Source organism: Homo sapiens, chromosome 1 (genome assembly GCF_000001405.40).
Source record: "Homo sapiens chromosome 1, GRCh38.p14 Primary Assembly".
Lineage (NCBI taxonomy): Eukaryota > Metazoa > Chordata > Mammalia > Primates > Hominidae > Homo > Homo sapiens.
This window is the reverse complement of record NC_000001.11, coordinates 29,584,527-29,612,333: the sequence shown is the minus strand read 5'-3', so window position 1 is coordinate 29,612,333 and position 27,807 is coordinate 29,584,527. Positions and strand designations below refer to the sequence as shown.

General features: G+C 45.4%; 1 long non-coding RNA gene across 3 annotated transcripts in view, besides 3 other annotated features; it reads right to left on the bottom strand.

The window, feature by feature from the left end:
- Positions 1–7,754, bottom strand: part of LOC107984934 (uncharacterized) — an 84,718-nt gene extending 76,964 nt beyond the window's left edge. For all 3 annotated transcript variants that reach the window (XR_001737957.1, XR_001737958.2, XR_001737956.1), the window contains exon 1: positions 7,535–7,754. This is a non-coding gene — a long non-coding RNA (uncharacterized LOC107984934). The remainder of the gene's footprint in view (positions 1–7,534) is intronic.
- Positions 18,875–19,705: an enhancer, noted in NCBI's record as "H3K4me1 hESC enhancer chr1:30065476-30066306 (GRCh37/hg19 assembly coordinates)". NCBI's record gives its function as "activates a minimal SCP1, AML or CMV promoter by ChIP-STARR-seq in naive H9 embryonic stem cells {active_cell/tissue: H9 hESC(naive)}" and the evidence as "EXISTENCE:reporter gene assay evidence [ECO:0000049][PMID:30033119]".
- Positions 19,706–20,537: an enhancer, noted in NCBI's record as "H3K4me1 hESC enhancer chr1:30064644-30065475 (GRCh37/hg19 assembly coordinates)". NCBI's record gives its function as "activates a minimal SCP1, AML or CMV promoter by ChIP-STARR-seq in naive H9 embryonic stem cells {active_cell/tissue: H9 hESC(naive)}" and the evidence as "EXISTENCE:reporter gene assay evidence [ECO:0000049][PMID:30033119]".
- Positions 26,572–27,072: an enhancer, noted in NCBI's record as "H3K4me1 hESC enhancer chr1:30058109-30058609 (GRCh37/hg19 assembly coordinates)". NCBI's record gives its function as "activates a minimal SCP1, AML or CMV promoter by ChIP-STARR-seq in primed H9 embryonic stem cells {active_cell/tissue: H9 hESC(primed)}" and the evidence as "EXISTENCE:reporter gene assay evidence [ECO:0000049][PMID:30033119]".

Below are 27,807 nucleotides of genomic sequence, written 5' to 3'. Positions count from 1 at the left end.
GGTTGCAGTGACCCATGATCACACCACTGCACTCCAGCTTGGCTGACAGAGCCAGACCCTGTCTCAAAAAAATAAAAGAGGCCAGGCGTGGTGGCTCACGCCTCTAATCCCAGCACTTTGGGAGGCCAAGGCGGGCAGATCATGAGGTCAGGAGTTTGAGACCAGCCTGGCCAACATGGTGAAACCTCGTCCCTATTAAAAATACAAAATTTAGCTGGGTGTGGTCGCGGGCGCCTGTAATCCCAACTGCTCGGGAGGCTGAGGCAGGAGAATCTCTTGAAACTGGAAGGGCGGAGGTTGCAGTGAGCCAAGATCATGCCACTGCATTCCAGCCCGGGCAACAAGAGCAAAACTCCATCTCTAAATAAATAAATAAAAGAAATGTTATGTATTGTTTTGAAAGAAAGCTCATTGGCACTAGAGAAACTTTTGGGAGCTGTCAAGCTCTGATTGGTGACTGATGGTGGTAGGTAAAACAAATCTTAGAGTCACAGAAGGTCATTTCAGCAGTTACTATATAAAACTGGTCTAAGGGTTACAGTAGTTTGTTTCAGCAGCTGGGCTTGCAGAAAATTCAATTTTTTGGGAATTGGAGCTATGTGCCCCAAGTGTTTTATTCCCCCGGCCTCCTGACTCTGATGTAGCTGGATATGACAAAAATTTGTATAATCAGCTTTCATATTTCCCTCTTTTATCAAGATATTTATTTGGAAGCATCACTGAAGCATCTTGAAGTCAAGCTTCATTGTCCCACTGTACTGGAATGGTCCTATCCCAGTTTCTGTCCCACAACGGGGAGAAGGTACAGGAATCTATGTCAGGGACCTAGGCTATATTTGAGGAACAAAAAGTCCAGAAGGAAAAATTTTCTCAGGGCAGGCTTGTCTGGGGTCCAGTATTGAGTTTCCTTATATTAGTCCCATGGGTATTAGCAATCATTTTAAAGCATTGGGCTAACATTATCCTATTGGGAGAACTGGCTTTACAAAGATTAAACAGGCAACAAGAACAAAGCTTAAGGATTGTGATATGAAAAAAATAATTAGCGACAATGTAATACATTTAGTTTGTATAAGGGTTTTGAACCAAGAGCCCAAGGCTAAGGGAAACTAACTAAGCAAATCAAAAGACTATGAGGGAACTGAATGAGACCTGTTGTAGTTGAGTTTCATTTTATGACTGCGTTGAATTAAAGCAGGGATTGCCAACTCTATAAGAGCAACTACTAGCACAATTTTAATAATAAGTTGTGTTAGACATACTGTCAAAATTACCCACTAGATAGATTAAAGGATTTGCAGCAGGGTGTTGGGGGTGTCAGGTTCTGTCTAGAGAAAAAGGTAGGCATTAAGAGGAGTTGAGAGTCTCATTATAGGCCAGGCACGGTGGCTCATGCCTGTAATCCCAGCACTTTGGGAGGCCGAGGCAGGCAGATCACGAAGTCAGGAGTTCAAGATCAGCCTGGCCAACATGGTGAAACCCTGTCTCTACTAAAAACACAAAAATTAGCTGGGTGTGGTGGCACATGCCTATAATCCCAGCTACTCAGGAGGCTGAGACAGGAGAATCACTTGAACCCAGGAGGCAGGGGTTGCAGTGAGCTGAGACCACACCACTGCACTCCAGCCTAGTGACAAAGCAAGACTGCGTCTCAAAAAAAAAGAGACAGTCTCATTATAATATGAAGTCGTGTCCCACCACCTTGGGAAAAGCTGTCTACAGTATGAAAATATCAACTTCCTATGTTGGTTTACAGTTTGAATGTCTCTCGTTATGGCACTGGGTGGTTTAGTGAATTTCTTTATGTGGTCCATACATCAAGCACAAGACTTGTTCCTTAAAATTTAGTTTAGGCCAGGTTCAGTGGCTCAAGCCTCTATTCCCAGCACGTTGGGAGGCAGAGGCAGGTGGATCACCTGAGGTCAGGAGCTCAAGACCAGCCTGGCCAACATGGCGAAACCCTGTCTCTACTAAAAACAAAATACAAAAATTAGCCCAGCATGGTGGCACGTGCCTGTAATCCCAGCTACTTTGGAGGCTGAGGTAGGAGAATCGCTTGAACTCGGGAGGCAGAAGTTGCAGTGAGCCGAGATCTCACCACTGCATTCCAGCCTGGGTGACAGAGCAAGACTCTGTCTCAAAAAAAAAAAAAAAATTTTTTTAGTTGTAGCTTACAAGGCTTCAGGAACAAAGTAGTTCCTGTTTTTAATCATTTTATGGAAGAAAGTTGGGTTGGAGGAATCTAGAAAAACTCAGAATTTAGTCAAGTCCACAGTTACATAATGAAGACTTGAAAACAGTACACAGAGCTACAAGCTAATAACTGATATATATTATAGCTTTTCTTGAGAAATACAATTTTTTCTCTATATGTTGATTACAAAGGAATCTCAGATTTTAAAAATCACTTGAGTCTAGCAAGCTAAACCAAGGCAGACTCTATATTTCACCTATAGTCTTAAGGTTCCTGGGCATGCCAGGAAGTGACGATTCTTATTTACTCACTGTAAGGCTGACAACTCTTGAAGTCAGGCATTACACGCATATTTTAAAATATGACATTTCAGTCAAAGCCTTGGCAATATAACTAATGTCTTCAATTGTATCCTACTATAAAGAGAGAGCAGATTTTTACTGGACTTGTGTAAATAACCATACTGCCATAAGAATACTCATGAATAGATTCTAAATTCTGAAGGAATCCAGTAGAGATAAAAAGCAAATGTTTCCAACTTGTTTACAAAAGTATACTTTACCAAATTGCTGTAAACTATAGTTAGCTTAAGAGAGAAAATTTTTTAAGTCTAGAAAACAGAATAATTCAGTAAAGAACCAATAATGTTTTAAATAAAAGTCATAAAAACATTATATTTATCAATCTCACGTAGCTAATTTTTGTTCTGCTTGATCTTGATTAGTAGTTGTATGCACCCATCAGTTTTTTATTAGAGCTTTGAAAAACATTTCATTTAGTCCATTGATCTTAAAGGTATTATAAACTTGTATTTTAAGAGTATTTGTTACAGTCTTCCATAAATCTTATTGTAAATGCCTTTAGAGAGGAATTTAAAATGATAAACTACAGATGACAAAAACTTAGAATTGTCATGGTTAAAAATCTGATAGAAGTTCATTGTAATTAGAAATTGACAAGAAAATTTAGTTATTTTGTGGCATACAACACAATATCTAGATTTATGACTGATGACATATTAGATTTCTAAGAATTGTATATAATTTTGGAAAATTTATATCAATAACATACCCATAAACGTAACTGAAAGAAAATCTAGCATCACTCATCATTTGACAAAGTTTTCCTTATAATTTATCAAATAAGCCTAGTCATTTAACATATCTATGAGATGAGAGATGCATTCTTTGAAGCTCTCCAGGGGCCCAACTGGAAAATTCCAAAGTTAATTCTAGGTCAAAGAGATTTAATTTAGAATTTGATTCTGGGAAAGTTTGTCAAAGATGCCCAAAGGCTCAAACATTTGATCAAAACAAGATCACAGGTCACTGAAATAATAGTCATTCATTTAATCAGAGTCATACCCAAAAGGCTTAAAAATCAATACAGAAAGTTACAAGAATTTTTAAAACCTTAATTCTTTCAGACCTCAGCTTTCCTAAGTGATCAAAAATCTAATAAAGATAACACTGAAAGTTATCTTGATAAAATGTAAATGTTTTGTTTTCCAGGCCAGTTACTGAAACAGTAAAGAAAAATCTTTTGCAGTGTGATTGTTTCTCCTTATGGGAAGCCCATTTAGACAACCTGGAAGTTTAACCTGGTGAAAAGGTACTTGAATTTCATGGGACACAGGAAGAATATGTGTGTAAGGTTAAGAGTGCACACTATATTATAGAGGAATGTAAACAAGAAAACTAGTACCTTAAGCAGAGGAATATATGGCTCTTAGTAACAGCATGGAAACTTTCACAGTGTTATGAAACAATTCAGACACATCAAGAAAAGCCAAGAGTACAAAATTAAATTACACTGAAGAAAAACATTGTTTTTCTGGGCCTTTAAGAGAAACACTTCAGCATCAGGCCATAACACCAGTGTTAGAACCAGAGAAAAAATGATCGGAGCTGATGAAAAAGTTGAAGGGGAAAGTTATTATCCCGGGCCTTCTCAAGAGAAGAAAGTACAGAAGGCAAAAATGTATGACCTGAAAATTACATGCAGTGAGATACAGCAAAAGTTGAACTTCTGAAATAAAAAACTAAAAAGCTTCAAGAGGAAAACTCTCCTTCAAGAAATGAAATTTGCATTCTGAATGAAAAAGATACCATTTTTAATGTGAAACTAGGAAAATTAAATGAAGACTGTAAAACAGAAAAAAGCTACAATTAATTAAAAATCAAAACCTCAAGCCAAGTGTGGTGGCTCCTGCCTGTAATCCTAGCACTTTGGGAGGCCGAGGTGGGTGGGTCACCTGAGATCAAGAGTTTGAAACCAGTCTGACCAACATAGTGAAACCTCATCTCTACTAAAAATACAAAATTAGCTGGGCATGGTGGTGGGCAACTGTAATTCCAGCTTGGGAGGCTGAGGCAGGAGAATCGCTTGAACCTGGGAAGTGGAGGTTGCAGTGAGCCGAGAGCACGCCATTGCACTCCAGCCTGGGCAACAAGAGTGAAACTCCGTCTCAAAAGAAAAAAAAAATCAAAACCTCTTTACATTTTGCTAAAAGCAGGTCAATCTTTTAAGAACATCTTGTTGTGTAAACATAGGGGACCATATTTTTAGTTTTATATCAATTTATTTTAAATATCAAAACTCAATCTTTAGGAAGATTTATAAATAACTCCCTTTTAATTATAGCCATTGTGATAACACACATAATTCATCTTATAAATTTATCCTTTAGAAGCTTTATCATGACTTACTCAGACCTTTGATGACATGCTTAGACTTTCTTCTTTGTCTTACACTTTTTCTAAAAAACCAGTCATTTTATTTTAGGACAAAAATGTATCAAAAAATGTTTTTATACAAAGTTATTTTAATTTTTAACCTAAAAATATATCTTTAAATCTATAACTTTCTTTATATCTCTCTCTCCTACTTATGATTTACTTTATATCTTAATTTTATTTGTTAAATACATATTTAAATAACCCCCAAATTAGACAAAATATTTTTCTTTTTAATAAAAAACACATTTTATGTTTTTCTTATAATTTTATATGTATTAATACACCCAACTATATTTAGTCTTTTTATGAAATTTAAGAAACCAAGAACAGATCTATGTTCAGCAATTTGTTTCCATTTTTAATCTTATTTTTAGAAATGACCCACTTAATAAGTACCTATTATTTAACATAACTTTAAGATTTCAAAGTACATAAAAAGTCTGTTTATAAACATTTATCTCATTTACATTGACTTAATTTATTTTTAATAATTTACTCAGACTACTTATTAGAACTGAGATATTAGACAAAGCTACTCATTATTTCAAGCTATTTTTCTATTAACCATTTTCACAGCCTACGAATATCTGATATTCACCTAAGTAAGAACCTTAAAGTTAAATATATGGGTACTTTAAGGGGGTGGAGCAAGATGATGGAAGAGAAGTCTCCACCAATCATCTCCCTCTCAGAAGGACACTAAAAGGCATTTGAGTTAATTACTATATATTTTATATGAGCACTCATTTATTTAAGCCAATCTGAATAGAATTCTTTAAAAGATTTCTGGCCAACTATGCCAGATTTTACCATGTAGACACACATATAATACATGTACATATACACAAGCACACCTAAACATATATTAATACATACATGCAAAAATTTTACAGCTTTCATTTTAGAATTTTAGTCATGAGACAGAAAAACACACAAAACTCACCAGTTTATAAAAGACAGTTGAATCTAAATTATATTTCTGACAAAATGAATTAAGGCTAAACTAAGATCTTTTTCCTAATAAGCAATCTTATAAAGGCTTTGAACCAAATTTTAATTAAAGCAATTTGAGTCATTTACCAATATACTGGATTGGACAAAGAATAGTTAACTGTGAAAATGTGACTGAATTATGCAAGGAAGCCCAAAAGATGAGAGTTATTATAACAAGATCTGTAGAGTGTTCTCTTGGTCTCAATTCCTCATCCTTGATAATAAGAGTGTTGCCCTTCCTTTTACTACAGAGAGATTTCCTTTACATGGGAATTTCATCTTTTGCTTTTAAGAAACAGCACAGAGGTCAAAGTGATTTTCTTTTGTGTCTACTGGTTTTAATGTGTCTTTATTTAAATAAACAGTATGTCAGAATAGTTGAGGAGTTTTTGAAAAAAGAGAGTTTAGCTTAGAGAAAGATAAAGAGGAAGAGATGTAGAATGGAGAGGGAAAGACTTTGGAAAGAGAAAAGTCTCAGCTAGAATTGAAACAGTATTTTTCAGTAAGGCAATCTTTGAGTCCTAAATGTGTTTTGTAGTCTGGACATACCAATTGAGATATGCATCCTGTCTAGACTGTATGATTTTATAGCTACAACCTTTTAGCTCAGTTTTCAGAAAAACAGACTGTTTGAATGATCCCTATAATGTTTGAACATGTCACCCACCATCAAGAGTCCCAGAAGTAGGAAACACTCTTGGCATGCCTTTGAACTTTGAGAGCCCATTTGTAAATAAATGTATCTAAGTGATTCAGTTTAATGGTGAATACACAAATGACAAACTAAATCTAAGCATCCAGATGAATTGGAAAATAAGGTAAGTAATTACCAAGAAGGATGATAAGCTATCTTCAATGGGAGAAAAAAATCCCTTTAACCAGGCCTCACAACCAGGAGGAGGAAGACCGTTCCTAACCAATTCCAAAATAAAACCAAATTCAGCCAAAAGAAAATGGAAGTCTGATCTGAGAAAGACTAATCAAGGGGTAAACAGGTGACCCATGGAAGAAAAGGGGCTCAAGGGGCCCGAGTATGGATACCTCATGCCATAGTTCCAGGGGCCATTGATGTCTCCAAGGTAAGTCTGCTTTGAAACCCACTCCTGACATCCAATATGTCAAAGTCAAAATAAAATATAGACAAATCTCTATATTAAACTTTGGGGTTTTTTGTTTGCTCTTTTGTTTGTTTGTTTCTTTGCTATAGAGTCTTGCTGTCACCCAGGCTGGAGTGCAGTGGCACTATCTTGGCTCTCCACAACCTCTGCCTCCTGGGCTCAAGCAATTCTCCCACCTCAGCCTCCTGAGTAGCTGGGATTACAGGCATGCACCACCATGCCTGGCTGTTTTTTGTATTTTTAGTCTACTAAAACAGGGCTTCACCATGTTGGCCAGGCTGGTCTCAAACTCGTGACCTCAAGCGATCCGCCTGCCTCGGCCTCCCAAAGTGCTGGTATTACAAGCACGAGCCACCGCACCCGGCCTAAATGTTTTATTTGAAAATCACAGAATTGCAATTTGGGGCATACACACAGACCAGGGTGGTCTTCAGTATGTCTAAAAAACAGAGAAGTTTGGGAGTTTTATTAGAAAGAGAAATGTTACTTACTGTTTTGAAAGAAAGCTCATTGACACTAGAAAAGCTTTTGGTAGCTTACAAGCTCTGATTGATGAGTGACGGCTGTAAGTAAAAGTAGTCTTAGAGTCCCAGCAGGTCAATTCAGCAGTTACTGCATAAAACCAATCTTAGGGTTACAGCAATCTGCTTCACTAGCTAGGCTTGAGGGAAATTCAATTCTTGGAGCTAGTGCTATGTGCCCTGAGTGCTTCTTTCCCTGGCCTCTTGACTCTGATTTAGTTGGGTATGACTAGAATGGCCCAATTCATATAATCAACTTTCACAGAGCATAAAAGAAATGTGTTTATAAATCAAAATCATTTTTGTAGGCCCCTAGAGAGTGCAGCATTTCAAGGAAGGCTTTGGCAAATCTTTTTGTAAAGTGTGGAATTGCTTCATTTTGTAAATAGTTCTTACTTATAAGGTTGTTTCACACTCAGACGTGTGTGTGTGTGTGTGTGTGTCAGAGAGAAAATTATAAGGGTGATTAATATGTTACTTTTGTGAGAAGAAAGGGAGTGAGCAATGGAGGAAGGAAGGAAGAGAGAGGAAGGAAGCAATAAAGCAGACAGAAGAAAGCAAAAAAGGAAGGGGGAAAGAAGGGTGGAAGGGAGGGAGCAGGAGCAGTTGGATGTAAAAGGCTTGAAATTAGGGAGAGATAAGGCTGAGATGTAAATTTGGGAGCCATGAGTATATGAACAAAATGTAAAGACCCAGGATCTGGTGACATCCCCAAGAGAGTAAGTGAAGATAAGAAGACCAAGGGTGGACCCCTGGGATAGCACAAGGTTTACAAGGCTAGGAGCCAAGGATGAATTAGCAAAGAAAATGGAGGAGGAGCAACAAGGAGGTAGAAGAAAAACCAAGAGACTGTGGAGTTCCAGGTGCTGAGGGGAGAGAGAGTTTCAGAGGGGAGGAATGAGCAACTATGCCAAATACCAATAGGCCAAGTGCCATTGAAAGTTGACCATTAACCCAATGCTGAGGTTGTTAGTGACCTTGCCAAGAGCATTTGTAGCAGAGTGTGAGGGGTGAAATCTGGGTAGAGTGGAGTAAAAAGACATTGGGAGGAGAGAAATTGGAGATAGCAAGTATGATGACAATTTCGTTTTACTGCAAGAGAAAGCAAAAGTAACAGGAGAGATTCGGTATTGACTTGTTTTTATTTGGAGGATTAGAGAATCAGCGGTATGTTCATACACTAATGGAAATGATCCAGGGGAGAAGGGAACATTGATGATGAGGTGAGAGGGGAAGGGATTTCGGAAACAAATGGTCTGGGATAAGAAGATGGAGAATTCATGTGGTCAGAGCATCTCAACCCATTAGGAATTTTCCTGAGAATCAACCAGTACAGGTGCACATCTTTCTAGATATTTATCTAGGTATAAACCAATATTATTGTAATCTTTATCATACTGTTCACATTCTCCAGCAACCTGCTTTACTTAAATACCTACCAGGGACATTCTCCCAAGTCAGGTCATAGAGGCCAAACTCAATCATTTTAATGGCTGCTTAGTATAAAGTAGTATGGATGTTCCATAGTTTAGATAATCATAATTTGCCATCTACCGATGGATATTTAGATGTGTCCAATCTTGCAATTGCAAGTAACATTGTAGTGGCGGTCCTTATATAACTTTATATTCATGAATATTTCAGAAAAATCAACTACTAAAAGTTAAATTGATGAAATAAAGGATCCCAGCATTTTGAATTTTGATAGATGCTGCCCAAATGTCCTCCACTAAGGTTTCCCTAATGAACAACCCACCAGAAGGATGTGAGAGAGGGATGTGATGCTAGGGGTAGGGGGAGGTTGGTTTGGGTTTGGACTTTTGATAGCAGACTTGTTGTTAAAAGTAGTTCAAGCTGAACATGGTGTCATAAACATAACTGATGAACCATTGACCCCTCCTCTCCAGGATCAAAAGTCCTAGCTGACCCAGACTGCTCTGGGGAACTAGAGAGGCAGAGAAGTGGGACAGAGAGAAGAGAGAGGCAGACAAAGGGAGCAGGGGCACCGATGTGGGGAAGCTGTTGGGTGCTCTGGGGCTAGCCTGGCTCAGCCAGCACCTGCCTTTGGGGCCCCCGGCAGGCACTCAGCCTTTCACTGCCTGTTCACCACAGCCAATGAGCTCGCATGTAGATCCAATGAGGTAACGAATGTGAAAAGAAGACAGCAAGTGTTGATGCGGAGACAGCAGGTTGCCTGTCCACTGGCATTTATTTTCCTCTGGTTTCTTACTAACAAAACCCCTGTTTTATCAGGGACAATTTCCCTTACTTAAAAACATTCAATTTCCCTCTGCAGTAGTCATATGACACAGCTCCAGCCAATGAGATGGGAAAACACTGCATTCCCGGTCCCATTCTTGGAAAGTCATGTGACACAGCTCCGGCCAATGAGAGAGGGGCAGAGGTTGCTGCAGGGCATTCTGGGAAAGCCTGCAGGACTCCACTAGAACAGCCATTGCCCATCCTGACAGGGGACTTGGGTCCCAGAGAAGGAGCAGCCACCATGCTGTGACCTCAGGGCATCCACACACATGGAGGACATGAAGGGGAAATAGAGGAGGAGACTGGCCCTGATGGCATCTTGGAGCTGCTGGGCCTTCACTAGTGGCCACTACCAGATGTCCCTTGAAGTGAGAAAAATAAATCCCTAATTTGTTTAGGCCTCTGTTGGCCAGGTTTCCATCATTCTGGGCACAGCATTCCTGAGTATACAAGTAGCAGTGGGAGATGGAGGTTTTGGGGGGTGTAGACAGTGCACCAGATTGGACTCCTGGAAACCTGGCCCACTCCCTCTTCACCACTGGCCAGCTCTGTGTTGGAGCCCAGGTGGCTGGGCCTCTCTTAGCCCAATTCCCTCATCCATAACGAAGGCAACAGTCCCAGTGATGCCAGCCTATCAGCAATCAAAAGAGGATAAAGTGACACAAATTCTTTGAAAGCTTCGGTCCTGGAATGCAGGGGGTTGGTCCTGATCTCTGATGTGACTCCCTCAGTTGTCTCATGTGTAAACAGGAGAGTGTATACACCTTGCAAAGGGCAACACTGTTCAAGGGGGAGAGGTTGTCATTGTGTAAGTAGGCATCAGAGTAGTTGATGGTCTCCACCAAGGGCCATGAGAGTTCCAGCTCAGGACTGGCACAGCCTGCAAGGCCAGTGGTGTGGTGGGAGAGCAGTAGAGTGGGAGCCAGGAGGCCTTCCACCTGGAGTACTCTGCCTGTCTTGGAATGAACTTTCCTTCTGGGCCACAGTCTTCCCCCTTGTAAAATACAAGGTTTTGACTAGATGACTGTGAAGAGCTTCATCATTTCTCATACTCTTGGAATTAACTTTCCTAACTTCACAGACCCACAGGGAGGTGAAGTAGGAGTGGCAGAGGTTGGGATCATCTGTGCAATCAGGAGTGTGAGGTGTGAAGAGTCACAAGATCCTCAGAGAGAGGTCTCTGGCTGGGTCCAGCGGGATGCATCTCCTAAGATAGGAGCTGCTCATTGCAGGGGAGGAGGTAGGAGGGGCCAGAGAGATGGTGAGGGACCCCCTTTCCCCCAAGCCTAGGTCAAAGTGGACTCTGGCCCACGGGCTGCCCTGCTTGATTTGAGCAACAGAGAGGCTCTTCTTGCCGAGAGTTCACTGTAATTCTACAGCAGCTCTGAGCAGGTGGATGCTTACTGAGATGAGCTTTCTCTAGGAAGACCTGGGTATTTCACCTGTGTGGCCTTGAGATGGTCATTTAACCTCTCTGCATTTTTCTTCTGTTATTTATAAGCATGAAGGTATCAGATCAGGTGCTTTTGAAGGTCCTTCCAGCACTAAAATATAGGATTCTAGATTTAGGACAATAGTAGTTGCAATCTTATTGGATGATTGGGAAGATGAAATGAAATCAGTCATGCTTCATGGATGTTAGGATTTTCTTCCCCTCTCCTTCTTGGTTTTGTTTAAAACATTTGCTTTTCATGACCTTCATCCTAAGCCCAGAAGAGGATATTTGTGAGCTTTTGCCACCCAGTACCCTTGGACCCTTTTACTGGGAAAGCTGTGCCCAGAATTTCCCCCCTCCTACTCTCAGCCCATCCCTGAACCTAAGCAGGGTTAATCCTACCTCCCAATTCCAGGATGATCCCTGATTGGATCAAGCCAACCACCATATTCCCCCTCTCTGGCCATCCAGACTGGTTCGGGGTTGAGTGTGTAACCAAGGGGAATCAGCTAGGACCTTTGATCAACTATTGGGAAGAAAAGGTCTTTCTTCTCTGCTGGACTCCAGTCTGGATGGAAATCATCTGGCCACCAAGAAGGGGGATCTGAACATGGCCTCACATGAGGAAGAGATTTTTTAAAATATGGAGGAGGCACTGATGGGATTCATCATTTGAGCCCCTGCAACAAGGCCCCGCCATGCATCCCTGAGCTTTTCAGTGGCATAAAACCATTAACTCCCTTCTGAGTTCAAGCTGGGATGAGCTGAGTTTCCTATTACATAAAATAAAAGAGCCTAGCTGTCTCCCCTCTAGCACCTATGTCTCCAAGCTGAGACCAGCACAAAACTTTGCTGCCTCAGCCTCTTCTCTCTAGGTGTGAGGTTCATCTCTCCCTGCCCATTCTCCCCCATTTTCTCCTTTCCCACAGAGAAGGCTGCCAAAACTACCCAGTAATGGCACCTCCAAGGATGAGGACACATTAGCCCTAGTCTCTAATGAACCGAGCAGCCCTGTCACCACCAGACCCGGCATCACACAGTGACCTGGAGGGCTGCCGAGTCAGCACTGTGGGTTCCTGGTGCTTACTTGCCTCCTGGAAGAAGGCAGCTTGTGCTGGGAAGCCACTAGGTGGATTTTAAGAGAATTGGGTGGGGTGGGGGGTTGGTACAGCAGGCATCATACAGAACCCTGTAGAGTCAAGGCCTAATCAGGGGAGGGGTTTTAGAAGTGATTTTGTTCTGTAGATGTGCAGATTAAGTCCAGAGAGGGCAAGTGACTTGCCCCAGGTCACACAGTTGTTTAGAGAGAGAGTTGGGCTCAGAACCCAGATCTCCCAATTGAGTCCAGTTGTTCCTTTAACTTTGCTGTCTTATCCTCCAAAGACAGATCTATGTCCTCCCCAAGAACCCCCATGGGTTCTCCTTCCCTTCTTTATGATGCTCAATAGAGTCAGTCCTAAGCAGCCCCTCCCATAGCATCCTTCCTGTCTCCCAAAGTCCACACCACACTGAACATCTCCAGTTACCAGCAAGTCTGCTCAGTTCTTCCATCAGCGAGTCCTACAATAGCGAATGCAGATACCGAAGGGAATTGCAGCAGCTGCTGCACTCTCATTCCCAGGACCTGACCTGGGCTCTGAGCTCAGGCTCTGTCCCTTTTCTGCCATCTTAGGGATGCTCCCTTCATCCCTAGTCAGGATCCACCCTCCTCACCTGCCCTCAGCCCCCATGGTGGGTAGAGCTCAGCCTGCCTGAAGCCACACAGTGGTCTGTCTGCTTTGTTGCTGGAACATCTGGCCTGACCCTCTGATCATCACTCACTTGCCCCTGCCTCTATAAATGCTGAGTGTTCCTTCCCATCAGCGGTGGCGGGGGTTGCCCCACAACTATCTTGTCGTTTGGGCAGGAAGGCCCCTTGCCCACATCTCTGAGTGTCACCTCTGGGCCATCTCAATGTCGACCCACTCTCCTGCTGCCCAGGGGTGCCCGGGGCCTCCTCAGATGGTCAGTAGTGGGACAGGTGAGGGCTGGAAGCCAGGGTACCACACCTCACCCCAGTCAACAGTCATCTGTGCACCCAACTCAAGTCACCGACACTGACAGATTTGAACACCTGCTGCCAGGAACCATACTGAGAGCTGCCCATAGGCCCACCCCCGTGGCCCTCACAACCACCCTGTCAGGAGGATTCATCTGCTCTGCCTCCCAGGTGGGGAAACTGAGGCATTGAGAGGTGAAGCCACTGCCCCAAGGTCACCCACATGCCCCTAAGGAACCTGAAGGGTCAGAGGAGAAGGGAACACACATACCTCCCTCCTTCCCACTGCCCCTGTCTGCAGAGACATGGTTTCCAGTAACCTCCAGGGACAGCCTCCTGGAATCTCCCCTTCAAATCCTTCCTGACCAATGTTTACCTGAAATCATCCCACTGATCCCACCAAGCAAATGTCTGAGATTGTCTCCTGGAAAAGGAGGGCATGATTATCTGGCCGGCAGACACTGGGTGAAACCCCAGCCCTGCTCCCAAGAGGGACTTGTTCAAGCGACAGTCACTGGGGCATTGTGTCTGCAGAGAAGTCTGCTCCACTTTGAACTTTGTGGCAATTACAAAATGGCTTGTTATCCAAAATGATTTGTGGAGGTGGAAAGATTTCAGATGAAGAACTCAGTGGTGGGACTGCTGGACCCAGGCAGAAATGCAAGGCCATCAGTTAGCCATTCGGGTAAAACACAATGACCGTCATGAAATTTTAATTAAACTCTTACTTGTGTGAATAATGAAGCGTAGATTCTTCAGTGCTGACTTCCTCAGGCCTTCTCTGAAAGGAAAGCTCTGCTTCAGGTGCATGGCTCTGTGAGAATCTGCAAATGTCCCCTCTACTGAGGAGCCAAAGATGGATCTTCACCGCTGTAAGCCCAGAAAGCTGCTCCTATGAACTCTCCTCCAGGGAGGTCAGTTTCTCCCCATTTCCTGCCTGGATTGGCCCCGCAGGAAGTGGCAGGTGAAAGGAGTGGATGGGAAGAAGAGAAAAAAAGGCAAGGGGGCTGGGCAGTGGGTGTTGGAGGTTGGAGTCCAGCTGACCCTCGGATGTAAGTCATGATGCCGCAGCTTGTTTGCTGTAGGATCTTGAACGTCTTTGAGCTTCACTTTCCTTATCTAAAGAATACAAACTACAATTCTCATCTTTTTAGAAATATTGATTGTTTTCTCCTGTTTATTTTCTCCATTGCCTCCCTGCTCAGCCTACAACCCTGCTAAGTTGCTCCTCACCCACCTACCAACCCTTAGCTTATACAGTATTGAGGACACCTGACCCACACTGGCCACATTATCCAATTTTCTCTCCAGAGAATCTCCATTCGGAACATAGAGACAGTCACGAAGCTGTGGGGGCCAGCTGGAAGAGCACGTGGCTGTGGGTTAGAGGCAATCATCTTGGTGAGGCCATGCTGGATCGGAAGTGAGCAGAGAAGCCAGTCTACAGTGAGGGGGAAGAAGACCAAAAGGAAATAGACCTGGATTATCCACAGATCCAGTATGGGAGACAGAGGAAGACCCAGAGAGAAATGGGAAGGGTCACTGTTGGGTGACTCCTAGACCCCAGGACACCTGGCTGAACTTTCTATATTTGGGATCTGAGGGGGCCCCTGCATCCTTCTGCAAAGCCCTTTTTCTGCTTTGCAGATTTTTGTGGGTCTGTGAACCAGTTAAGTTTCTTCTCTGTTGCACATGTCAGAAAACTCAGCCCAAACTGGTTTAAGCCAAAGGAACTCCATTGATTCATGTAATGGAAACTTTCTGAAAAAGTTGACTCCAGAAATGGCTTGAAGGGGCCTCTTGGTGATGTTGCCAAGACCTAGCTTTTCTCCATTTCTCCTTCACACATTGTCTTCATTCTTAGGCTGCATCTAAGGTGATGGCAACAGCTGTGGACCATGAACTTCCAAGTGGTGAAGAGCAAGAGCGTCTTCTGCAGGAGGCCTGAAAAATGTCCATTGGATCTCGGTGGTTCCCTGGATCATTGCCCTCCCTGAGCTGATGGCTGTGCTAGAAAGATATATTGCACAGGTTAGTTTAAGCGTTAGTCCCACAGCCCACTGCTGAGCTACAGGTGCAGCCTCACAGACAGAGTAGGGAAAGGAGTGACCCACAAGCAAAAGTCAGTGCAGCTGCTGTAGTGAGAGGAATGCAAGCAAGCAACCTCACCTCTGGATTGCCAAAGATGAGAGCTCAAGGGGGACGGTGAGAGTGAGATGAAGTCCCTAATGAAATGCGTCTGTACAGTACCCATGCTGATTTCTCTTCCTTGCTCCTAAGTTGGTAGCTTTTCTGTAAAGCTCCTTGAGGCTGGGAGTCCAGCCCCTTCTCTTCACCATCCATTACCTGGGCCTTTTTGTGGCCCACACCTTGCGTGTGACCTTACCCTGGTCTGGACTGCCCTTCCCATACCTTGTCTGCTCAGGGTTTGAAATGGAGAACAGGCTGCCAAGGCTTAGAATAGGGGAGAAGCGGGCAGTGGGGGTGGGGAGGGGTGATTTTAAAGGCACAATAGGAGGGTATATTGATGATGGAACTATTCTGAATCTTGACTATCGTGGAAGATAACCAAACCAACACAGGTGTTAAATTGTATAGCGCTAAATACACACACACACACGCACACAAAATACAAGTAAAAACTGGAAATCTGAGTAAGATGGGTGGGTTGTACCAAGGTCAGTATCCTGGTTGTAATTTGTCCTATAGTTTTACAAGATGTTACCATGGGTGGAAACTGGGTCAAGGGTACACAAAATCTCTCTGTTTTCCTCCTTTTCTTTTTATAAATTAAACTTTTAAATTCTCCCACAGGGATGAGGAGGACTTCCTGAGCTGGGTGCTTCCTTGCTGGTGTCATGGGTGGAGCTTTCATTAAATCCAGTGGGGAGGAAGAAGCCTACTTGGGCCACCTTCTGTTGGGAGCAGTAGAGAAACTCTGGGCCTGGGTCTCCTGGGTGGGTGAAGGGGTCTGAGATGCCCGCTACTATACTGTTCCTCCAGTCCTGGGGTCCTTAACCAGTCACATTCCTCTTTTCTGAGTGCTCCTCTGGGAGTCTCTTGTGTTACCTCCAGAGCTGATCATTATACTTAGTGGGGAAGAGCAGGGAATGACCTCTGTGTCTCTCGTACAACTTCATAGAACTCTACAATTATCTCAGAATAAAAGTATTAATTTAAATAATGAAATAAATATATGCCAGGGGAGAAAAACCATAAATAACACTAAACACCACCAATCTCACTGGGTCACTGTGGAAAGTGCATTAACATACGCAAAGACCTTAGCCTGCCTAACACTCAGGAGGTACACGATGGATATGCATTGCTTCTCCAATAATTTAGGAGTGTTGTGTTCCTAAAGATCTTTGCAATTCAGGATATATCTTTTCATGAAACTCTGCTGTAGACTGGGGTTAGTCAGTCAAAAAGCTCTAATGGCTTGTACTGCTAATAACCATGAATAACAATCTTTCTTTCAGAAAATGTAGTCCAGACTCCAGGCGCAAGCATCCTCCCTTCCCTGGGCCACGGTCGAGAAAGGGGAGTAAACTATTTTAGTAGGCACAGCAAAGAGAGCAAAGCAGAGTGGGACTGGGCTCTGTGGACTGGCAGCTGGGGTCAGGCCGGGGTCTATGGAGAGAAGGAGCACAGATGCACCCTGGGTTCGCACCCGTGGGAAAGCCTGGGAGGCCACCCCCTGTTGGCCAGGGGTGTGTGTGTGTGTGTGTGTGTGTGTGTGTGTGTGTGCACGTGCATGCGTGTGTGTAGTGAGAGTGCTGCACCACATCAGTAATCGTCATGACCACTCACTAAGGAAGGAACTGGTAGTAACCCATTTCTCAGCTGAGGGAGCCAAGACCTTGAGAAGTTGAGGAACTTTCCTGAGCTCACAGCTTGGGTCTAAATCCCAGGCCGGTGACTGCCTCCAGTCCCTGCCCCAACCACTGCACTCACTGCCACGTGCTCCTGGTGTCCATTTGTGCCACTTGGAGGGCTCATCCCCACAATCACCCTGGGAGGAAGGGGCTGATGGAAGCACCATCCCCACCTACAGATGAGGAAAGGGCCCAGAGAGGGGAGGCAACTTGTCCACAGTCACACAGCAGGGAAGTGGTGGAGCCAGGACTGGAAGCCCTGTGGGCCTGACTTCTCCTCCAGGGCGCCCTCCCCTGCCCCCCACTACCCTCCCTTCAACACCTCTCAATGGAAAGCACAGACTGGGGCCCCCTTCTCCCTGTAGTGAAGGAAGCTTTTGGACTCACAGAGGCCTCTGTTCCTCAGCATCTCCTGCACTGGTAGCCAAGCCCCTCATCCTTGGTCGACATCGTACCCCCATCCTGGTCCCCCTCAGAGGCCCCCAGGGCTGTTACTTCCTTAATGTGCCTGCTTTAATTATTATCTTCAAGAAGAGACTCAATCCAGGAGATAAACACAAAAGACCCGCTGCTGATAAATGAAGGTGTCCTGCCTCCCTGGATGCAAATGGAGAGCCCGCTGCAACCCCTGCAGTAACACGCCTTAGCCTCCGTCAGGGCTGAACAGCCTCCCTAACATGGTGCATCTCCCTGTCCTGCAGGTGCTGGGATCAGCATAGTGGCAGGCAGAGGAGTGTGACACCAGCGTTGCACAGAGAAAAGAGGTAAATCCAGTGCCCTGGAGAGTGCCACACAGAAAGCTAACAGCCAAGAATGGAGTGGATCAGGGACAGAGGGATCAGCAGACAGCCAATAGCAGCTCCAGAGTGCAGGAGAGAGGCGGCACCATGGCCTCCTTTAGCTAGGAGACCCAGCCACACCCAGCCTGGCCTGGGTACTGCCAGTCCCAGAGGACACCATGGGACACAATGGGGTGCTCAGGCATCTCTCAGGACCCCTGCCCCTAACCAGGCACTGCTCCCCACATACATCTCTCTGCCTTGACTGAGGGACTCAGCCTTCCTGGGCCTGGGTCTCAGCTTCCCCTTGGGTTCCACTGTGGAGCAACCTTCCAGGCCCAGTGCCATGGCCTGCCCTGGATGAAAACTGTTCTCTGACCCTGGCCCTGCAAGATGCACCCCTAAGACCAGCCCCAGATCCGCACCCAACTAGACCTGCCCCCTTCTCCTCCCTCTTCCCCCTTCCCACACACCCTGGAAAGAAGAGTTCAGCAGTGAGGAGAGATCACTTCACATAAAGGCTCTCTCTGTAGCATCACCTGGGGCAGACAGTGGGGTGTAACAGCCACCCTTGTGGCAGTGGAGCCCGGGAAGCACTGTGCTTACTCACAGGTCTGCACTCTTCTCTGCCACTCACCGTCTGTGTCATTCAGGCAAGTTACTTAACCTCTCTGAGTCCCAGCTTTCTCATCTGGAAAGTGGAAAAAAATACCTCCTTTCCCTTTCTCAGTTTCCCCTCCATAAACTGCAAAAAAAAAACTAAAATTATATATATATATAATTTTATATATGTATGTATATACACACACACACACACAGAGACAGAGAGAGAGAGACACACACCAGTATGACCATTGGCTTGCTCCTGTCTGTGCACTCAGCTAGAATACGAGCTCCATGGGGCAGGGCCAAGCCTGTCTTGCACCCCACTGTATCCCAGCACCCCCCACATAGTGAGCCCTCAAGAAATGCTTGTGAAATAAATGCTGTGAAATAAAAGATGACCTCTCTCAGCCCCTGCTGCTCAATATGTGGGCTGCGCACCAGCAGCAGCAGCTCTCAGAGCCCATCCAACCCCCCTGCATCAGAGCTGGCCTTGCACGAGAGCCCAGGGCAGGTGTGTCCAGGTCCCAGGAGCCCTGGAGGCTCAGCCTCCCTTCCCCAGGTCCTCCTTCTCCATGCTGACTTGTTGGGCTGCCTCCCTGGGCCTCTGCCTTGCCCAGCACAGTTCCACCTCTTTTCCCTGAGGAAGGTTGGGACGATTCAGTGAGATCGTGGCTCCAACGCACCAGCTTCAGGAAGATGAGCCATAAACAGGGCTCCATCTCCATCTCTGTCTCTCTCTGATCCAGACCTAGGCCACTGCAGGAAGTCTATGAGCAGCTCACTTCCTGCCACTGGCAGGCTCTGGAATTCACTGTGCAGCCCAGGCTGGGAATGCAGCCGCCAGCGGGGAGCCCTGAGCCCAGGCTACACCTGAAACCAAACACCCTTCTCTGGACCCACTCCTCACCCCTCAACATACAGCTGCTGCCCACCTGGTTTTACTGCCTGGCACTGCAGCCCTTTCCAGAGCCCCTGTGGGTCACCCTGAGACCCCAGCCCCTTCCATGGGGGAGGTCTCTCTCCTCCTCACTACAAAGCTGGCCCATGTGACTCTATGTCACAGCTGCCACCTGCACTCACTGCTGGGCCCTCACCTTCCACCCCAGCACCGCCTTGATGCTCAGATGCCAGCAGGTCTCGGGTCTCCCCACTGTGCTCCTGCCTGTCAAGCCGCCCACTGGGGTGTATGTCGAGGTCATCCAGCTCTGATGCTCCAGAATATGTGACATTAGTTTTCTATAGCTGTCTCCTCTGTCCTCAGCTGCGTTCCTAACCTTCATGCCACACCAGCCTTGCCTCTGCCCCTACCCCTCCACTGGGTTCCAACTCTCATCTGCCCACTTGATTCTCCACATGGACAGGGTTCAGTAAGCCCACACTGACCACAGAGCAGAGCTGATGGCGGGGTCATGGCACAGAAGCCCCACCTGAGCCCAATCTCCACCTGCAGGGTTGAGTTGGGCTGAGGGGGGCCATGGCTATGACGGACCCACATGACCTGGAAGCAGCGTGGGGACCCGCTTGTCTCGGGCGGGGCTGTGTTGTGTTGGTCATGGGAGGGTCAAGTTTGCTGGTTCTAAGACCCGAGTGCCCCATGCACAACTTTGTTCTTAGAGACAGTAGCAGATCCCGTGGGTACCTTGCCCCTGTACCCTGGGCACCAGCCCTTCCTGAATCTGCAGTCCCGGCTCAGAGCCAGGCACAGGCTGGCTCTCGGTAAACATTTGACAACTGGGCACTTAGATGAACTGAGCCCCCTCCTCAGGCCCCTTGTGTGGGGAATGGGTGAGCAGGGGCCTCGTCTCCCTTCTCTAATCGCTGGTGAAGATTGGGGCCTCTGCACCCCCTTTTGCCCAGGGTCTCTGGAGCTCATTTCTCCACATATGGCCCAGGATGGGGAAGCAGAGGAGGGGGAGTAATTAAAGGAGAGTGTGGGACCCCTCTCCACCTCCCTTCACCACGCAAAGCCATCACACCCCCACCCCCAGCAGTGGGAGAATGACCCAGAGAACAGCAGAGCTGGGGTAAGGATAGGAGCAGCAAATGCCACATCACACAGCAGAGAAAATGATCCAGAACGTAACAGCCCCCTGGAGAACGCAAGTGCAGGCACTTGTTGCAAGGCAGGAGTGCAGAGGCACACAACACATGGCCACTTGCCCTCCCGGTCTTCTGTGAGACAGCCCTCCATTTCCCTTGCAGCACCTGTTTCAAGTGCATTGTTTTTCTTTGTTTGATAAAGTGTAACTCATTTAAGGCTCTGTGATGGTTATTTCACATCTCCAAAGCATACTTTTCACGGAAAGATCAATTCCAAGAAAACACTAAAAAGTCTGTGGAAGTTAGATCCATTAACAAGTGCTAAGTGGCCAATCACTCACAGAGGGGGCCTTTGAGTAAGCCCAAGAAATGATCAAACTGACTGGGCACTCTGCCGGGAGCCCTGGAGCGACATTTACAACATACAGGTTATGAGCTTTTTCTTTTTCTCTGCCTAAAATTAAAGTTCATTTTCTGAGACCAGGGAAGATCATCAAGAGGGCAGCTAGCCAGCCCTGTGCAATGGATGGAGGAGGAGCTCCCAGATCACTCCTGGAAAGGGGTCTCTGTTCCTCAGAAAGACTGAATCTGTGCATCCAGGAGCCCATGGAAGGGTGAGTCAGTCATCCTCATACGCGTGTGGGCAGCGCGAGCAGGAAACCCAGAATGCCACCTCAATGCCACAGCTCACTGCACAAAGAAGGCCAGGGGGGAGATTGTGACTCAACAGAGATCATCTCCGGAGGAAGGGACTGGGGGAGAGCAAGGAGAGGGAAGGACACACCACTAATCATCCGAGATAAATGATGGAGTTGACTTCGTTTAGGCCTCCTAATAATCCAGTGGGTTAAATGGTACTATGACCCCACTTTACAGATGAGGAAACTGAGACTCAGAGAGGGGAAGTCCTTTGCACTGAACCACCCAAGTTGCAATTCAAATCCAGATCTGTCTGATGCCAAAGCCTTAGCACTTCACTACTATGCCTGTCTCACCTCCTGGTTGTATACCCCTAAGGATGGGAAGCTCACTACCTCTCAAGACATCTCAGGACAGCTTTGACTTGGAAAGTCCTTCCTTCAGGCCACATTGAGGGCATCTACTTCATATTCCACATGGCAGCACATGTATTTGAAGATAATTCTCATCCTTCCAGGGATTTTCTGTCCCCAGGTTCTACAATCCCACTCCTTTGGCATTCCTCATTAAACAGCCCCTCCAACCAAGCTTCTCTCTCTCTTTTGAGCTCTCTGATGCAACTTCCCAGGGAAGGTCTGCCCAGGGCAGGGCCCAACTGAGCCCTCTCTCTGTCCCAAGGATCCAGCAGGGCCCTGGCTCAAGTTTCCCTCTTTTGTTTTTTGTTTTGTTTTGTTTTGCTTTTGTTTTTGTTTTTTTGTTGACCCTTCCTGAATGAGGAGCCATCTGCCCAGACATGGGGTTGGTCATGGACAATTGGGTAAATTCTCCTTTATTCCCCAACCTGTTCACCTGATTCCTGTCAGAAATGTTCCGCCTGAACTGTAGCAGGAGATCTGAATAAGAATTTTTTAACCACTTTATTAAGATACAACTGACATGAAATAAACCCCATGTATTTAAAATGTACAATTGGCTATGTTTTGATGTAAATATACATCCTTGAAACCATCACCACATCGAGATAAAGACAAACACACACATATATTTACTGCAGCACTATTCACAATAGCAAAGACTTGGAGCCAACCCAAATGTCCATCAATGATAGACTGGATTAAGAAAATGTGGCACATATACACCATGGAATACTATGCAGCCATAAAAAAGGGTGTGTTCATGTCCTTTGCAGGGACATGGATGAAGCTGGAAACCATCATTCTCAGCAAACAATCACAAGATCAGAAAACCAAACACTGCGTGTTCTCACTCATAAGTGGCAGTTGAACAATGAGAACACATGGACACAGAGAGGGGAACATCACACACCAGGGCCTGTCAGGGGTGGCGGATAGGGGAGGGATAGCATTAGGAGAAATACCTAATGTAGGTGACGGATTGATGGGTGCAGCAAACCACCAGGGCACATGTATACCTATATAACAAAATTGCACGTTCTGCACATGTAACCCAGAACTTAAAGCATAATAAAAAAAAAATTGTCAAACTGTCTTCTAAAGTTGTTGGACCATTTTACCCTCCCACCAGCAGTTCATGAGAGTACCAGTTCCTCCACATCCTGGACAGAACTTGGTATGATCTTTTTAATTTTAGCCATTCTGATACCTCAGATGTGTAGTGGTATCTCATTGTGGTTCTTAATGTATGTTTTCCTAATGACTAAAGATGTCCAGCATCTTCATGTTGGACATCTTTACGTTCACATGTCTTCTTGATATGTGAATCCTTTGCCTGTTTTTTATTGGTGGCTTGTTTTGGGAGTTATTTACATGCCCTAGATGTAAATATTTTATCAGATATATGCTTTGAGAATATTCTCCCAATCTATGGCTTGTATTTTAATTGTCTTAGCAGTGTCTTTCAAAAAACATTTTTAATTTTTATAAAACCAAATTTATCAATGTCTTATGAGTCATGCTTTTGGTGTTATATTTGAGAAATCCTTGACTAATCCAAGGTAACAAAGATTTTTTCCTCTGTTTTCTTCTTAAGTTTTATAATTTTAGGATTTATTTTTAAGTCTATGATCCACTTTAAATTTTTATATTGTGTAAGGTATGAATGAACGCTCTCCTTTTTTGCATATGAACATCCAATTGTGCCAGCATCATTTGTTGGAAAAGCTCTCCGCAAATGGCCTTTGCACTTTTGTCAGAAATCAGTTGTTCTTATATGAATGGGTCTATTTCTGAACACTCTATTCTGTTCCATATAAATCTTTTTGTTCACATTTATGCCAACACCGCCTTGTTTTGATGATGCCAACTATATTTTTTTCTCTTTTTCAAAGTTTTCTATTTTGCTATGCTAGGTCTTTTGCATTTCCATATGAATTTTTTATGAGTTTGTAAATTTCAGCTGGTAAATCAAAAGCCTCTTGTACTTTTGGTTGGGATTGACTTGAACCTAGTTATCAATTTGGGGAGAATTGACCATTTTATCAATATTAAATCATGTGGCCCATGGATAATATTTATTTCTCCATTCATTTGGATCTTCTTTATCTCAGTAATGTTTTTCATTCAGAGTGTATGGGTCTTGCACATCTTTTCAGATTTATCTCTAAGTATTTTACATTTTGTGATGCTGTTTTAAATGGTAACTTTCATTTCAATCACTGATTGTTCTGCTATTGGTATTTGGAAATACAACTGATTGTTCTATATAGGTCCTACATCCTGAAACTTTGCTAAACTCACTTAGCTCTATCATGTTGTCTTTAACTAAAAGGTTTTATTTATTCCTTTCCAACATGGATGCATTTAATTTCTTTTTCATTCCGTATTTCACTGGTTGGAACTTTAAGTAAAATGTTTAGTAGAAGTGGAAGAGCGGATGTGCTTGCCTTGTTCCTGATTTTAGGGGAAGAATATTCAGTCTTTCTCCATTGAGTACAATGTTTGCTGTTGGTTTTTCATAGGTGCTTCTTCTCAGTTGGCAGAATTTCCCTTCTATTTCTACCTTCCTGACAGTTTTTTATCAAGAATATAAATAGTGAATAATGAGATGTTAAAAAGTGAAAGATTGATTGGAAAACAGCCACTGTGCTTCTCAATTTGTATCTCTATCCAGTCCTTTGAAAGGTGACTTTGCTGTTCTTGCTATCAAGCGGTGAGGTCTATTTCCCCAACTCTTGAATCTGGGGTGGCCCTGTGATTTGCTTTTTCTCATAAAATATGACAAAAGTGATGTGCCAGTTTTCAGCTGTTTTAAAATGTACCCAGGATTTGTTTTAATCAGGTATTTACAAGACACACAGATATGGAAATGACTGTCATGAAGGAAAATGTTTATTCTCACAGATTCCTGGAAACAAGAGGCATAGCATTCCATGCAGGGAAGCAGCAGGGTAAGTCAGGAGATAGGGGGAGAAGAGGAAATCGAATGCCCAGAGCATTCACTGGGGCTCTCGTGGGCAGGAATGGGCAACGCAGGGTAGGTTGCTGAGTAAGCTTACAATTGGGTGGTTGGATAACTTAAGTGAGCTTTGTCCCATAAGGGTGGTCCCTAGATGTCCACTACCTGGACCTGGGGTGATTTGGGGCAGGGCAGGAAGAATATTGGCTTGGTGTGGGAGAGTTAGATAAAGGAGGTGGCTGGGGATGTGGGCTCTGGATCGGTTGGTTTGAATATCAAAGATGTGCTCTCAGGAGAGTCCTTTGCTATCTCTGGAGAATAACTAGCCCTGGTAGGGCAATGTCTCCAGGATCAAGGCCCCAAATGCCAGAGCATCAATAATACAGAAATGAGAATATACAGTCAAGATATCCACCTATGCCTCAAAACACCTTGTGTGCTTTCATCCTCTCTTTTGAACATGAAGATGTGTCTGGGCTGGCCTGCACTCAGATAAGACCACATGAAACAGAAATGAGTCAACTCCCCTGAGACCATGCCAAGCCAGTCATCTCCCAGCCAATCCACAGGCTGATTGCAGATGCAGAAGTATATCCATCCAAGATCAACCAAACCCACCCTAGGTCAGCAGAAGCAGCCAGCTTGCATACACACTCCTAAGTTCAATAAATGCTTGTTATTTTAAGCAATAAGTTTGTGGTGGTTTGTTATGCAGCAGGAGCTGGCTGATACACCATAACTCTCTCACCACAAAGCTGTTTGGTTCAACTACCTTGTGTATTTCGTCAAGTGTCTTGACTCTTCTCACTCCTCTCTTTATCACCATCTTTGTTCCTAAAATTCCACGGTGTTTCTCCCATGCCTAGAGAAATTTTAACGGAGTTGCTAGAACCCATTTCCTGCTTTCAGTGCCCCCTTTCTTCAACCACTCAACAAATGTTTAAAGTGTGCCATTACATGTGTCAGGCATGGAGGAAAAGACAGTAAGTAAAATAGACATAGGACTGCCACCAAAGAACTTCCAGGAGATGGGAGAATTGAATAAGTAACTGCAGCAGAATTCCATGTAGCATTTTACCCAGAATTTGTGTCATTCTCCATGCAAAGTGCTCCAACCTGCAATGAAATTGCAGCCTCCATGCTCAGCCAGAATGCTTAGCGCCCACCTTATGAAAGAGCAGGTGCTCACAGTGAGGGGAAGCCACACTCAGAAATGAGCAGCTGGGCTAGAAACACCAGCTCCGAATTGCAGTAGTCACCGCAGGGCTGTGCCCAGCCCTTCCAGCTTCTACTGACAGAGGGTGGCAGGGCCTGCCTGTCTGCACGCAAGGCTGGAAAGAGGGTCTTCATGCCTCCCACCCACGAGACACATTCTGCCTGAAAGCCACATCAGGGAGAGGGGCCAGCAGCAATTTTCCAGATGCTTGTCATTTTCAGGGAAAACAAATGCCTTCCAGCAAGGCCTGAGTTCTGGCTCTTTACACAGAGTCCTCAGTGTCTGTTCCCAGGAGGAGGCTGGTTTGTCCCCAATACCTCCTCAACACCATATCCAGATTTTCTCTGTGCCATTCCCAGTGGCTCTGGCCCCATCCTATGACTCTCTCCAGTGCCCCAGGGTCATTTTCCCCACTGGGATATGAAATCCATGCTGTGATCATCTCTATGCCCTATGGTACCTGAAACAGGTTGAGTCCTCAATGAATGTGAGTGGACTGTGGGATCTGGGACTGCCCTAGCTGCTGGGCTAGACCTCAGGAAGGGGGTCCACTCCTTCATGTTCCACCTGGCCCCGTTCAGCCTCTCCCCAGAGACCATCCTGGGGCTGGCTCTGCCAGGATGCAGTGCAGAGTAGGAGGGACCAGCGCGTCCTGAGCGCCTGCTGCACGTGGAGAACTGTGCCTTCATCGGCTCATTTGATCCTCACAGCAAGCCTGTGGGGTGGTGAGACTCAGCCCATTTTGTTGATGAAAAAATGGAAACTAGAGCAGTGACTGCCCAGGGCTCATGACCAGGGCTTCCTGAGCCATATGTAAGTTAGGGTCCTCCTTGCTCCTCAGCCCTGTGGGGTCTACACCCTGGCTCCTGCGTGGTGGCGGAGACAGCCCTTCCCCACGCAGCCCCCATAAAGATGCTCCAGAGTCCTGGAGGAGGGGTTGGAAGACAGAGCACCAGGAAGCAGGCAGCGGGGCCTTGCTGGGGAACATGCACCAGGGTTCGGCCAGCCTGGGCCTGTCTCTCTCCCACCCACAAGCTGGGTGACCTTGGACAAGTCACTTAACTCCTCTGAGCCTCAGTTTCCTCATCCACAACCCCAGGCCATAAACCCCTGTCTGCCTGGGTTTCTGCGAGGGTAGCTGAGCTCAATGCTTCTGGAAGTGCTCAGCGCAGAGCTCGGCCTGCTGGAGAGGGGCTGGAACTGAGCCTCCTGCACTAGGTGGAGAAGGCCTGGAACCAGAACCCGGGGTTCTGATGCCCAACTCGGCCTTCCTGCCCTCCCTCCTGTTTCAGAGGCTGCACTCAGCTTCCTCCCAACCCCCTTGGACCCAACAGTGAGGCACACAGGGCTCCTCCTTTGGCCACACGCCCTTTGCAGACATTCAAAGATGCCAGAATTAATCAGGGCACGGCTCACAGGGCTGACCATGACCACAGCTCCAGCAACAGCCCCTTTTCCGTCTCCCTCCCTCCTCTGATGATCCCACACCCTGCAGTAGCTGAGCCAATCTGTGGGAGTCCCCCGACGCTGGGTGGGGCCCCTCTGAGGACTGCGGCGCATTCCCTATAATGACGTTCATTAGTCTGTCTGACATCAGTACCGTTCTCAGGTTAATATGTTTAACTTAATGAGGCATTTCTTTCCTGTTAGAAAACTCCTGAAGAAGCGTGTTTGCTCCTGATGAGCTCAGCTGATGAGCAGATTAATACCAGGCTTGAGAAGCTGACCGAGAAAACGAATCTAACCAGCTTATGTTTCTTCCTCAGGTATGGGCTGAGCTTGAATTAATTTGAGTTAATTGTCATTTCTTACAGGAAGGAACAGGAAGAAGATCCCTACCTGGCTCTGGGACACATCCTCCAAGTGCCTGTTTCTCTCCCCGACACCTCCAGCCCCAGCTGCAGCTCCAAGCATATGAAAAGACCAAGGGCCAGCAGATGATGAGGGGAGAAAAGAGAGCCTGAAACCAAGCAAC